Source organism: Homo sapiens, chromosome 12 (assembly GCF_000001405.40).
Source record: "Homo sapiens chromosome 12, GRCh38.p14 Primary Assembly".
Classification (NCBI taxonomy): domain Eukaryota; kingdom Metazoa; phylum Chordata; class Mammalia; order Primates; family Hominidae; genus Homo; species Homo sapiens.
In genome coordinates, this window is record NC_000012.12 from 80,280,936 (window position 1) to 80,296,425 (window position 15,490).

A 15,490-nucleotide genomic window follows, 5' to 3' on the forward strand; every position below is an offset into this window, starting at 1 on the left:
TTTTTTTTTTGTGTGTATGGCTATTGTGAATGGAATTACATTCTGGATTTTGCTCTCAGCTTGAACACTATTGGTGTATAGAAATGCTGCTGATTTTTCTACATTGGTTTTGTATCCTGAAACTTTACTGAAGTTGTTTATCAGTTCTAGGAGCCTTTGGGCAGAGGCTATGAGGTTTTCCAGGTGTAGAATCATATTGTCTGTGAAGAGAGATACTTTGACTTCCTCTTCCTATTTGGATGCCTTTTATTTATTTCTTTTGCCTGATTGCTTTGGCTAGGACTTCCAGTACTATGTTGAATGAGAGTGATGAGAGTGGGCATCCTTGTCTTGTTCCACTTCTCAGTGGAATTGGGTCCAGCTTTTGCCCATTTGGAATGATGTTGGTTGTGGGTTTGTCATAGAAGGCTGTTAATATTTTGAGGTATGTTCCTCTAATGCCTAGTTTTTAGAGGATTTTTAATATGAAGGATGTTGAATTTTATCCAAAGCTTTTTCCTGCATCTGTTAAGATGATCATGTGGTTTTTGTTTTTAGTTCTGTTTGTGTGATGAATCACATTTATTGATTTGTGTATGTTGCACCAAACTGTCATTCCAGGAATAAAGTCTACTTGATTGTGGTGGATTAGCTTTTTGATGTGCTGCTAGATTCAGTTTGCTAGTATTTTGTTGAGGATTTCTGTGTCTATGTTAATCAGGGATATTGGCCTGAAGTTTTCTTTTTTCATTGTATCTCTGCCAGGTTTTGGTATTTCTTTAATTCATTCTTAACTTTTATTATTTATAGGTAATGGGCTAGTTCTTAAACATTCTGTGCCTCTGTTTCCTCATCTATAAAATGAGAAAAATAATTGTGAAAGAAGTTCTGAGGATTGAATAGATAAATATATATAAAAGGCTTAGATAGTATTTGATATAAAGTGAGAGTTCAATAAATGTTAGCCATTTTTATTGTTATTAACTTGGTTTGGTGAATATAAATATAACACATTAAACCATAATTGGGTTATACATTTTTTATGGTTATGACAATAAAAAGATATTATGCTCAATTCTAGAAATGCTATTTTGATGATATGCTTTGGTAAACTCCAGGCTTTATATATCTGATAAAATCCTTAAAATTTCTTACATTGAATGCATTTGAATTACCTGTATACTCAAATTTTAGGCATTACTGATCACAGATTTACATTTCTAAATGAAAAATGTGAGCTTTAGAAAGAAGTCACACAAGAATAAACAAAATAACATCTTTTCCTCCAGCAAACTAACCTATGATTAATGCATTTTTTTCTGGATGTGACTTTTATATTATTAGAGGTTTGTGTGTGATTCTGTTATTTAAGCCTAAGTCAAGAAAACAGACTATCTTCTATTTTATATTAGTTCTGTTACATAAAAAATGAATAGTAAAATCTATAGCCTTTTAAACTTAAGGAAGGTTCTTGCTTATGTTTTACGTCATTGGATTTTCCTGTTGGTACTTGTCTTGTCTTCCTTTATGAATGGTTTTAAGTTTCTTAAAGAATAAATACCTAGGAATGGATTTGGCAGTCATATAATTATAACGGATGGTAAGTTGCCTATAGGGTATTTTTTTTTTTGTCTTGTGTTGTTTGGATTATTTTCGGAGCCTACGGAAGGCACACTAAAGAATACATTCTCTAAGTATCTTCTTTGAACAAGCCTGTTTTAGCAAACAATTTTATATTAGAATCCTTTCATCCCCTGAGGTTTAGAGTATAAATTTAGAGGCTTAGAAAAGTAGATAACAGTTTAGAAATTTGAACACATAAACAAATATACTTTTCAGGTTGATTTTATATAAAATCCTCACTTTCCTTGATATTTAGGTGCCTCTGACACTCCTTTAAGTTACCTCCACCCTTGACTTTCTGGATATTATGATTCTTTCTCTCTGGTTTCTTCTTTGTCTTGTGTTGCCTTTTCCTCTTACATAAGCCCCCACTCAGAGATGACTGATTTGGTTCCTTCAGAGCAAGGACCAAGTCTTGCTCATCATTGTTTCACAAGGGAGGAGCACCATGCTGGGAACATAGTTTCTCACTGAATGTTTATTGAAGTGGACATCTGTTTGTGGTTCTTTACCCCTTTTTCCTAGTGCTTGGTGTGTTCATCCACTTCTAAAATCTTAGCTACAGCTACACACTGATGAGTTCCAAATTGATGTGTAGAGCTCTGACACTCAATTTCTTGACTATATTTCTGACTCAAGTTCATCCTTACAATAATATACTATTTCTTTCTATTTATCTTTCTGAGACTCATATTGTTATCATGTAATTGCTTCTTAAGAACTACAGTGACTTCCAATGGCCTCCAGTGGCTTCCAATAGCGTCATAAAGTCAAACCTCCTACTCCAGTCTTTCCAAGGGTTCTGTCAGCTCCATCCCTCATCTATGTCTTTTCTCAGTGTACTTTCTGTGTCTGATTTCCTCTGCTCCCTCAAAGTCATGTGTTCAGCTCACAGTTATCTGTCCTGTTCTTATATCCTATTGTGTTTATAGTCATAACATCAAAATTAAGCAGCTCATTATATTCTGATTATTTTTATATACTCATCTAGATTGTGTATCATTTTATGTCAGAACTATTTGGTACACTTCTTCTGGGTTCCTCATGGGAGCTAGCACAATTATGGCTGAATTATGAAGCTAAAAAATTACTTGTTTGACTTTTTTCAACAGTCTCCACTTGAGAATAGAGACCACAAGCTTAAACATGAATTTTTAGTTCTAGCAATCTAACACTTGTGATAAATGCATACACGAGCTTTCAATGTGAAGTTTTTAGAGCAGCACTTCTTAAACCTTAGTGTGCATGCAGATCACCTAGGAATATTGTTAAAATATGAATTCTGTTTTCATAGGACTGTAGTAGGGTTTTGGGCTCTGCCTTTTCTTTTTTTAAATTATACTTTAAGTTCTGGGGTACATGTGCAGAACGTGCAGGTTTGTTACATAGGTATACGTGTGCCATGGTGGTTTGCTACACCCATCAACCTGTCATCTAGGTTTTAATCCCCCCACACATTAGGTATTTGTCCTAATGCTCTCCCTCCCTTTGCTTCCCCATCCCCTGACAGACCCCAGTGTATGATGTTCCCCTCCCTGTGTCCATGTGTTCTCATTGTTCAACTCCCACTTATGAGCGAGAACATGTGGTGTTTGGTTTTCTGTTCCTGCATTAGTTTGCTGAGAATGATGGTATCCAGCTTCATCCATGTCCCTGCAAAGCACATGAACTCATTCTTTTTTATGGCTACATAGTATCCGATGGTGTATATGTGCCACATTTTCCTTGTCCAGTCTGTCATTGATGGGCATTTGGGTTGGCTCCAAGTCTTTTCTATTGTGAATAGTGCTGCAATAAACATACGTGTGCATGTGTGTTTATAGTAGAATAATTTATAAATCTTTGGGTATATACTCAGTAATGAGATTGCTGGGTCAAGTGGTATTTCTGGTTCTAGATCCTTGAGGAATTGCTACACTGTCTTCCACAATGGTTGAACTAATTTACACTCCCACCAGCAGTGTAAAAGTGTTCCTATTTCTCCACATCCTCTCCAGCATCTGTTGTTTTCTGACTTTTTAATGATCACCATTCTAACTGGTGTGAGATGATATCTCATTGTGGTTTTGATTTGCATTTCTCTAATGACCAGCGATGATGAGCTTTTTTTCATATGTTTGTTGGCTGTATAAATGTCTTCTTTTGAGAAGTGTCTGTTCATATCCTTTGGCCACTTTTTGATGGGGTTGTTTGTCTTTTCCTAGTAAATTTGTTTAAGTTCCTTGTAGATTCTGGATATTAGACCTTTGTCAGATGGATAGATTGCAAAAATTTTTCCCATTTGGTAGGATGCCTGTTCACTCTGATGCTAGTTTCTTTTACTGTGCAGAACTCTTTAGTTTAATTAGATCCCATTTGTCAATTTTGGCTTTTGTTGCAATTGCTTTTGGTGTTTTAGTCATGAAGGCTTTGCTCATGCCCATGTCCTGAATGGTATTACCTAGGTTTTTTTCTAGGGTTTTTATGGTTTTAGGTCTTATGCTTAAGTCTTTAATCCATCTTGAATTAATTTTTGTATAAGGTGTAAGGAAGGGGTCCAGTTTCAGTTTTCCGCATATGGTTAACTTGTTTTCCCAATACCATTTATTTAATAGGGAATCCTTTCCCTATTGCTTGTTTTTGTCAGATTTGTCAAAGATCAGGTGGTTGTAGATATGTGGCATTATTTCCGAGGCCTCTGTTAGGTTCCATTGGTCTATATACCTGTTTTGATACCAGTAGCTTGCTGTTTTGGTTACTATAGCCTTGTAGTATAGTTTGCAGTCAGGTAGCATGATGTCTCCAGCTTTGTTCCTTTTGCTTAGTATTATCTTGGCTATATGGGCTCTTTTTTGATTCCATATGAAATTTAAAGTAGTTTTTTCTAATTCTGCGAAGAAAGTTAATGGTAGCTTGATGGGAATAGCATTGAATCTATAAATTACTTTGGGCAGTATGGCCATTTTCACGATATTGATTCACTGTATCTGTGAGCATAGAATCTTTTTTCCATTTGCTTGTGTCCTCTCTTATTTCTTTGAGCAATGGTTTGTAGTTCTTGAAGAGATCCTTCACATACATTGTAAGTTGTATTCCTAGGTATTTTATTTTCTTTATAGCAATTATGAATGGGAGTCCACTCATAATTTGGTTCTCTGTTTATTTTTGGTGTATAAGAATGCTTGTGATTTTTGCACATTGATTTTGCATCCTGAGACTTTGCTGAAGTTGCTTATCAGCTTAAGGAGTTTTTGGGCTGAGATGATGGGATTTTCTAAATATACAATTATGTCATCTGCAAACCGAGACAATTTGATGTTCTCTCTTCCTATTTGAATACCTTTATTTCTTTCTCTTGCCTAATTGCCCTGGCCAGAACTTCCAACACTATGTTGAATAAGAGTGGTAAGAGGGGGCATCCTTGTCTTGTGCCGGTTTTCAAAGGGAATGCTTCCAGTTTTTGCCCATTCAGTATGATATTGGCTATGGGTTTGTCATAAATAGCATTTATTATTTTAACATATGTTCCATCAATACCTGATTTATTGAGTGTTTTTAGCATAAAGGGATGTTTAATTTTATTGAAGGCCTTTTCTGCATCTATTGAAATAATCATGTGGTTTTTGTCATTGGTTCTGTTTTCTGTGATGGATTAGATTTATTGATTTGTGTATGTTGAACCAGCTTTGCATCTCAGGGATGAAGCCACCTTGATCGTGGTGGATAAGCTTTTTGATATGCTGCTGGGTTCAGTTTGCCAGTATTCTACTGAGGATTTTCGCATTGATGTACATCGGGGATGTTGGCTTGAAATTTTCTTATTTTGTTGTGTTTCTGCCGGGTTTTGGTATCAGGATGATGCTGTCCACATAAAATGAGTTAGGGAGTAGTCCCTCTTCTTCTGTTGTTTGGAATAGTTTCAGAAGGAATGGTACCAGCTCCTTTTTGTAACTCTGGTAGAATTTGGCTGTGAATCCATCTGGTCCTGGGCTTTTTTTGGTTGGTAGGCTATTAATTACTGCCTCAATTTCAGAACTTGTTATTGGTCTATTCAGGGATTTGACTTCTTCCTGCCTTAGTCTTGGGAGGGTGTATGTGTCCAGGAATTTATCCATTTATTCTAGATTTTCTAGTTTATTTGGTAGAAGTGTTTAAAGTATTCTCTGAAGGTAGTTTGTATTTCTGTGTGATCAGTGGTGATCTCCCCTTTGTCATTTTTTTTATTGTGTCTCTATGCAAATAAACTAGAAAATCTTCTCTCTTTTCTTCTTTATTAGTCTGGCTAGTGGTCTGTTTTGTTAATCTTTTCAAAAAACCAGCTCCTGGATTCATTGATTTTTTGAAGGATTTTTCGTGTCTCTATCTCCCTGAGTTCTGCTCTGTTCTTAGTTATTTCTTGTCTTCTGCTAGCTTTTGAATTTGTTTGCGCTTGCTTCTCTAGTTCTCTCAATTGTGATGTTAGGGTATCAATTGTAGATCATTCCCGCCTTCTGATGTGGGCATTTAGATTTATAGGGACATTTATAAATTTGCCTCTAAACACTGCTTTAGCTGTGTCCCAGAGATTCTGGTACGTTGTGTCTTTGTTCTCACTGGTTTCAAAGAACTTATTTATTTCTGTCTTAATTTAGTTATTTACCTAGTAGTCATTCAGGAGCACGTTGTTCAGTTTCCATGTAGTTGTGCAGTTTTGAGTGGGTTTCTTAATCCTGAGTTCTAATTTGATTGCAGTGTGGTCTGAGAGACTGTTTGTTATGAATTCCATTCTTTTGCATTTGCTGAGGAGTGTTTTACTTCCAATTACGTGGTCAATTTTAGAATAAGTGTGATGTGGTGCTAAGAAGAATGTATATTCTGTTGATTTGGGGTGGAGAGTTCTGTAAGTGTCTATTAGGTCTGCCTGGTCCAGAGCTGAGTTCCAGTCCTGAATATCCTTGTTAATTTTCTGTCTTGTTGATATGTCTCATATTGACAGTGGGGTGTTAAAGTCTCCCACTATTATTGTGTGAGAGTCTAAGTCTCTTTGTTCGTCTCTAAGAACTTGCTTTATGAATCTGAGTGCTCCAGTATTGGGTGCGTATGTATTTAGGATCATTAGCTCTTCTTGTTGCATTGATCCCTTTACCATTAAGTATATCTTTCTTTGTCTTTTTTGATCTTTGTTGGTTTAGAGTCTGTTTTATCAGAGATTAGGATTACAACTTCTGCTTTTTTTTTGCTTTCCATTTGCTTGATAAATATTCTTCCATTCCTTTATTTTGAGCCTATGTGTGTCTTTACACATGAGATGGGTCTCCTGAATATAGCACAGCAATGGGTCTTGACTCCTTGTCCAATTTGCCAGTCTGTGTATCTTAATTGGGGCATTTAGTGCATTTCCATTTAAGGTTAATATTTTTAGGTGTGAATTTGATCCTGTCATCATGATGCTAGCTGGTTATTCTGCACATTAGTTGATGCAGTTTCTTCATCGTGTCATTGGTCTTTATATTTTGATATGTTTTTGCAGTGGCTGGTACTTGTTTTTCCTTTCCATATTTAGTGCTTCCTTCAGGAGCTCATGTATGACAGGCCTGGTGGTGACAAAATCCCTCAGAATTTGCTTGTCTGTAAAGGATTTTAATTCTCCTTTGCTTATGAAGCCTAGTTTGGCTGGATATGAAATTCTGGATTGAAAATTCTTTTCTTTAAGAATGTTGAATATTGGCCCCCACTGTCTTCTGGCTTATAGGGTTTCTGCAGGAAGATCTGCTGTTATTCTGATGAGTTTCCGTTTGTAGGTAACCTGACCTTTCTCTCTGGCTGCCCTTAATATTTTTTCTTTCATTTCAACCTTGGAGAATCTGAGGATTATGTGTCTTGGGGTTACTCTTCTCGAAGAGTATCTTAGTGGTGTTCTCGTATTTCCTGAATTTGAATGTTGACCTGTCCTGCTAGGTTGGGGAAGTTCTCCTGGATAATATCCTGAGGTGTGTTTTCCAGCATGGTTCCATTCTCCCTGTCACTTTCAGCTACACCAATCAATCATAGGCTTGGTCTTTTCACATAGTCCCATATTTCTTGTAGGCTTTGTTCCTTTTCATTCTGTTTTCTCTGATCTTGTCTTCACACTTTGTTTCATTAAGTTGATAATCAGTCTCTGATATCCTTTCTTCTGCTTGATTCATTTGGCTATTGATCCTTTTGTATGCTTCACGAAGTTCTCATGTTGTGTCTTTCAACTCCACCAGGTCATTTATGTTCTTCTCTAAACTGGTTATTTTAGTTAGCAGTTCCTGTAACCTTTTATCAAGGTTCTTAGCTTCTTTGCATTGATTGGGTTAGAACATACTCTTTTAGCTCTGAAGAGTTTGTTACTACCCACTTCCTGAAGCCTACTTCTGTCAATTCATCAAACTCATTCTCTGTCCAGTTTTGTGCCCTTGCCTGAAAGGAGCTGTGATCATTTGGAGGAGAAGAGGCATTCTGGTTTTTGGAATTTTCAGCATTTTTGTGCCGTTTTTGCTCTTCTTCGTGGATTTATCTACCTTTGATCTTTGATGCTGATGGCCTTTGGATGGGGATTTTGTATGGAAGTCTTTTTTGTTGATGTTATCACTTTCTTTTTGTTAGTTTTCCTTCTAACAGTCAGGGCTCTCTTCTGCAGGTCTGTTGGCATTTGCTGGAGGTTTACTCCAAACCCTGCTTGCCTGGGTGTTACCTGCGGAGGCTGCAGAACAGCAAAGATTGCTGCCTGCTCCTTCCTCTGGAAGCTTCATCCCAGAGGGGCACGCATCTGATGCCAGCCAGAGCTCTCCTGTATGAAGTGTCTGTCGACCCCTACTAGGAAGTGTCTCCCAGTCAGGAGGCACAGGGGTCAGGGACCCACTTGAGGAGGCAGTCTGTCCCTTAGTGGAGCTTGAGCATTCTGCTGTGAGATCCGCTGCTCTCGTCAGAGCCAGCAGGCACAAACATTGAAGTCTGCTGAAGCTGTGCCCACAGCTGACCCTTCCCGCAGGTGCTCTGTCCAGGGAGATGGGAGTTTTGTCTATAAGCCCCTGACTGTGGCTGCTGCATTTCTTTCAGAGATGTCCTGCCCAGTGAGGAGGAATCCAGAGAGGTAGTCTGGCCACAGCCACTTTGCCACGCTGTGATGTGTTCCGCCCAGTCCAAACTTCCCAGTGGCTTCTTTAACACTGTGAGGGGAAAACCATCTACTCAAGCCTCAGTAATGGCGGACGCCCCTCCCCCAACCAAGGTCAATCGTCCCAGGTTAACTTCAGACTGCTGTGCTGGCAGCGAGAATTTCAAGCCAGTGGTTCTTAGCTTGCTGGGCTCCATGGGGGTGGGACCCGCTGAGTGAGACCACTTGGCTTCCTGGCTTCAACCCCCTTTCCAGAGAAGTGAACGGTTTTGTCTTGCTGGGGTTCCAGGTGCCTCTGGGGTATGAAAAAAAAAACTTCTGCAGCTAGCTTGGAGTCTGCCCAAACAGCTGCCCAGTTTTGTGCTTGAAACCTGGGGCCCTGGTGTCGTAGGCACACAAGGGAATCTCCTGGTTTGTGGGTTGCAAAAACCATGAGAAAATCGTAGTATCTGGGCTGGATAGCACAGCCCTTCATGGCTTCCCTTGGCTAGGGGAGGGGTTTCCCTGGTTCCCTGGCCCCTTGCACTTCGTGGGTGAGGTGACACCCCGCCCTGCTTCTGCTCACCCTCCTTGGGCTGCACCCACTCTCTAACCAGTCCTAGAGAGATGAACTGGGTAACTCAGTTGGAAATGCAGAAATCACCCACCTTCTGCATTGGTCTCGGTGGGAGCTGCAGACCAGAACTGTTCCTATTCGGCCATCTTGCCAAGTCCCCCAGGTTCTGCCTTTTCAATAAGCTACTAGATAGTGCTGATGCTCCATGTCTATGGACCATATTTTGAGTAGTAAGGATGTAGAACATTTTACTTTCTTTAACAACCTGATTTTAATTATTTTTGAAATTATTTCTCTTCTTCTGCATAGTCAAATTTAAGTTACATTCAGAAAAAAGAAAGTTTTGCTGACAATATAATGTCAAACATGACATGTTCCCATTGGATATATCATTACTGTTAAAGATGTTTGTTTATGGTATCATTTTAAGTAGTAACACAAAGATTCTGTGAAGCTTTATTTTTCATTTTGTATATGGAAAAAATATTTGCACATTTCTACCAAAAGCATTAAAAATCTTGTTCATGTTTCAGCATCTCTACAAATATTTTCCAATGTATGGTGGTGATCTTTGTTCACATTATTATTTCATTCATTTAATAAAACAATTTTAGGGGCCTATTAAATGTAAAGCATGCCAGTAAAGACATATCTACTATTTATACTCCATATTAAGACAGATTTCTCTAAGAAAATTCTAAGGTTTTGATGGTGGGGACAATGCCTTATATTTCTTGTTATTCTTTCTAAGTCATTTTGCAGAATGCTGGGCATTTGGTGAACTCAATAACTACTTGTTAGTATTTTCTCCTGTTACTCTCATTTTCTTTTTTTAGTAGAGAAAATGTAGCATTTATCATTGTCATTTCAAATACTGATTGTGCAGAAAATATTTCAAGTAGAGTATTTGTCTTAACTCTGAGTCCTGGCAAGAGGAAACTATAATCTTGTGTTTATGTTTAATTGTAGAGAAATAATATCAACTAATAAATAATGGACAAGGCCAGAAACTAATAAAAGACGTACCATAGTTTCTTTTCAAATGATATTTTTCTCTCTCTCAGTTCCTCATTTCTATGAAAGACAAATCATAACAGGACCAATGTACTTGCAAAATAAGTTTTAATCGTAGTATATTTGGCTTGATTATTTGCATAAAATGCAGCAAGAATAATTATTGTTCATATAGGCTCTTTTACGTTGGCTTTGTTGTAACTTTTTCATAATCTCAGATTAGACCTTTTAAAAGCCTCTTGAGGTTAGCCAGCTAAGGATTTATATGTGCCTGCAAATACCTATATGAATTGGGTTAATTTCTCTCTTCTTGAGGTTCTAAAATAACTTGGGGTTCCTAAGCCTGTCAGAAAGTGATGTGCTTTACTTACTACAGGTCACAAACATTGTAAAGGAATTGCATAAACAAGGTGTCAGGCCAGTCTGTACGAGAGGCTTTGGTCAGCTCTATAATGTCAACTTAAATTCCCCAAAGCAGTCCAGTCATATCTGTAAATATTCCATCCTAGTCAAAGCTGTGGTAAAATAACCAGCGTCTCCAACTGTTTCCTGTTACAACAGAAAATAGATTCTTATTGAACTTATGCAAATAGCTATATTGCCATAATTTAAGAATACTCACAAATGATTTTTAAATTCTGGAGAAATCAGATAGAAAGAAATATGCCTCAAATTTTGCTCACAAGAGCATACTTTACTCAATTTGTTGTAAGCTATAAATAGCTCAAAAGAAAGAAATATTTTCTTTTCTTTTTTTTCTTTTTCTTTTCTTTTCTTTTTCTTTTTTTGTTTTTTTGAGATGGAGTTTCACTCTTATTGCCCAGGCTGGAGTGCAGTGGTGCAATCTTGGCTCACCACAACCTCCACCTTCTAGGTTCAAGCAATTATCCTGCTTCAACCTCCCAAGTAGCTGGGATTACAGGCATGCGCCACCACACCTGGCTAATTTTGTATTTTTAGTAGAGACGGGGTTTCTCCATGTTGGTCAGGCTGGTCTTGAATTCCTGACCTCAGGAGATCAGCCTGCCTCGGCCTCCCAAATTGCTGAGATTACAGGCATGAGCCACTACGCCCAGCAGAAATGTTTTCTTGACTTTAGAAAACAAAACGTAAAGAAGCCCAATGTTTCAAACAAACAAGTCATAAGAAAACATTTCAGCCTTCTGTTAGTTCAGTCCCATGCAGTTAACTCTTGTTCTGCCCAGTATTGGGCCAGCAATCCTCATGAACACATCTGCCCTCCAGTGAGAATCCCAGAAGTTTTCTCTCTAGTCTGATGGCACAATCTCCAAAGTAATCAGAAACCTGCCTTCAAGAGCACCTGTCAGAGTCCTTTCCACAAACTTCCTTAAGGAAGCAAGTTGTGGACTGCAGCTGATTATAAAGTGCTTTTTGAGAAGAATAAAAGTAAAACAATAATTGTCTGTGCATGACAAAAGTCTTAGACTAGCCACGGTTAAAGACACAATAGACAAGGAAATTTGATTATTTCTGTGGCATACAATAATTTAATGTAATAGTCATAATTATTCCTGATAACATAGATTAAGACATACCAGAACTATATGAATCTTATATAATTTTGGAACATATATTAATGACACATTCATATAAAAATAACTCAAAGAAAGTTAAACACCATTTCATATTTGACAATGATTCTGGTGTAATTTTAACATACCAACGAAGATGAATATGTCTGTCTCGGACTTCAGGAGCCCTAATACCCAAAAAGTTAGTTTGAGGCCAAAAGACTGAATTTAGAATTTGGAAAGGTTATCAAATATCAAAGGCTTAAAACACTTGATATTGCAAAATAAGAGTCACAGGTAACTGCAAAATTAGTCATTTAATCAAAGTGATAATTCAAATATTTTAAAAAGCTAAAACCTTTACTCTTTGGTAGACAGGAGACTCAGTTTCCCAAATAATCTTAAAACTTAATAAAGATAGCTAAAAAGGTAAATTTAATCTGTCTCTCTCTTCCCTTTTTTTCTTGCCGTATACTCAAAAGGTAAATAAAAATCTTTTACTATCTCTTAATATTACACAAAAAGCTTGTTCAAAAGAGAAAACCAAATTTTACCTTTGCATTGTGCATTATTAACACTAAAGTTAATTTTAAGAAATACATCCAATTTTAATTAGTTTGATCACAAGATAAGATCTTCATAAACTTTTTGTAACCTTTTACAATATTTACCATTCTTTTTCCCAACTTTTTATGTCTTCTTACAAGAACCTTATGAAGGTGTCAACTGAAGGGTGGTTTTGGCCCCAGGCAGCAGAGTCATGGATGACCTGATGTCATTCTTGTAACTTGGACAATCTCTGTGTGACTGCTCTATTTTCTGCTACTCAGGCTAGCATGTCTAACTTTCTTTTCTCTGTCTTTTCTCTACTTTTTCGTCAGTTCAGTCATCATTTCTACTTCCTCATATGTTCAGCTTTTTTTTTTTTACCTGGTCAGCTCCTACTCTTCCTTATATCCTTTACATGTTTATTCACCCTCAGATCTTCCTGCAAAACATTAAAAAAAATCAGTATTTTCTGGTTCAAATTTGAGAGAGAATTGACTAGAATATAGTTCGTTTTTTCTGCAACATTGAAGTCCCTTTGCCCATAAATGAATGCACTGCTTTGGGGCAGAAACCATGGCTGCCTAAGGCTATGGTATCAGCAGAGATTTTGTGTGGGATAATTACCCTTAAAAGGGGCTGGGGCTATGACAGGTGCTGAGACTGACATGTAAAGTATAATTATATACTTCCTTGAAAGGTGCTGACAGTTTCTGTTTCAGAGTCATTTTGGGGCATATTCTGTATTAAAGCTTTTAGTACCTGAGAATAAAGGGTTTTGAGGAGCCCAGGTGACACATTGATGTTGACCTTTTTCCTCCAGCTTTGTTGTCATTATTACTATGTTGCTTAACAACTCTGTGGCATTATTTTTAAACCTAATATTAACTTGAAATACATTAGAAATGGAAAGTATAGAAATGTGACTTTTAGGTGTATTGCTATTGTTACAAATTACTGTGAGCATAGCATGAAATTGTAAGACAAAGCATACAAGATAGAATATTTCTTGACATTTCAGATTTAATATAAAGGATGAAACTAACATTGAGGCATTTTAATTAATAGCAATAAAATATAATGGCAATAAAAAGCCTTTCAATCAGCTTTTCACATCCCTTAGTCTAAATAACTTTTCCCAAGATGAAGAGCAAAACAAAACCCTAAATTATGTATTTTTCTCTTTGAAAATTATGCTGAAAGGCAGAAAAGTATGACATTAATTTTTTGAGTAGTACAATGCCATAATCATCTTAATGACCCTTATTATTTCTCAAAAGGATTGTTTAAAAAGCAGCAAAAGCTCCCAGCATCTATGAAGGAAAAATGGGTTACAGAGGGATATATTAATTACTCCATCTATACCATTCATTAAAAACCTATCCTCTAGACACTATAATACTTATTAACAAGGCAGAAAGAATTTAGCCAAAGTAAGAGATGAAATGAGTTAGTTTTCATATTGCCAGTGTTGTGAAAAACTAAGTGTGAAGAATTTACATCAAGACCTCTATGATCATTAGGCAAGGTGGCTTACACCTCTAATCCCAGCACTTTGGGAGGCTAAAATGAATGGCTCGCTTGAGCCCAGTAGTTTGAGACCGGCCTGGGTAAACATAGTGACACCCTGCCTCTACAAAAAAATTTTAAAAATTGGTCAGGTGTGGTGGCACACAGCTGTAGTCTCTCTCCCAGCTACTCAGGAGGCCAAGGTGGAAGAACTGTTTGAGCCTGGAAAGTTGAGGCTGCAGTGACTCATGATCATGCCACTGCGCTCCAGCAGCCTGGGTGACAGGGCAAGACCCCATCTGAAAAACAACAACAACACCACCACCAAAAAAACAAAACACAAACTGTATGATTGCCGAACTTTTTTTTTTTTTTTTTTTTTTTTTTTTTAAGACAGAGTCTCAATCTGTCACCCAGACTGGAGTGCTGGAGTGCAGTGGCGTGGTCTCAGCTTACTGCAACTTCAGCCTCCCAGGTTCAAGCAATTCTCTTGCCTCAGCCTCCCGAGTAGCTGGGACTACAGGTGCGTGCCACCATGCCTGGCTAATTTTTGCATTTTTAGTAGAGACTGGGTTTTGCCATGTTGGCCAGGCTGGTCTTGAACTCCTGATCTCAAGTGATCTGCCTGCCTCGGCCTCCCAAAGTGCTGGGATTACAGGCGTGAGCCACCGCGTCTGGCCTATGATTGCCAAACATTTAATGACTTTTTCTTACTATGAAAATAAATGCTGACCCATGTGTCTCAAAATGGAAAAGATTCAGGAAGTGTGTGTGGGCCTTTGAAAATTGAACATTGAATCCAAAGAGAAATGTCACAGTTCTTCCTTTCCTTTTAATGAAGTCTCTACTGTCCACAATCAGTGAATGGGCTCTTAGAGCAGTAGCTTTTAACTTTGGGGGAGATTAGGACCACTTTGAGAATTTGACAAGAAGCCATGTACTTTCTTCCTAGAAAAATGGTAAGTATATGAGTTGATGAGTATGTTCGTTTTATTTAATTATTTCACATTATATACATATAACATCCCATTGTATCTCATAAATATATGCAATTATAACTTGCCAATTAAAACTTTTAAGGAACCAGATGTAAACAATATTTTATAATGAAATTTCCAGAGTCAGTACAACTGAAGAAACCTATCCATTAAACTGGGGGAGAAAGTTAGAAACTTTGATTCTAAAGAGTGACTTAGTGGATGCAGTGGGGAGTTGCCAAGGAAAGGGGTCTACCTGGAGGTGGAAGTGTGTCATTTAGAGTAGAGAGACTAAATAGTGTTCCTTGAATTTAGGGATTCCCTATCATCTAAAGTTGTCTTTTCTCCTCAACCATTTCTAGACCCTTCCTAATTTCTTTACAAGTGGCATCAAGACAAACAAAACAGATTAGGAATTTGAACTCTGATCCTCCTCTTAATTAACAAAGCGACCTTAGATAATCAGTTAATTCCTCTTAATCTCAGTTTCCTCATCTGTAAAATGGAAATAATACCCAATTCAAAAAGTTTTCATGAGAACTAAATTGGATAATACATGTAAAATTCAAACCAAGCTCTCAAATAATACACATTATTTTATTTACTAACAAATACCAAAGTTTTGTATCTATTTGAATTCTAACTTATAGAC

The 15,490-nt window shown here is 37.3% G+C and overlaps 1 protein-coding gene across 7 annotated transcripts in view; it reads left to right on the plus strand.

The window, feature by feature from the left end:
* OTOGL (otogelin like) overlaps positions 1-15,490 on the plus strand; it is a 281,344-nt gene that overhangs the window by 181,399 nt on the left and 84,455 nt on the right. The window lies entirely within an intron of this gene.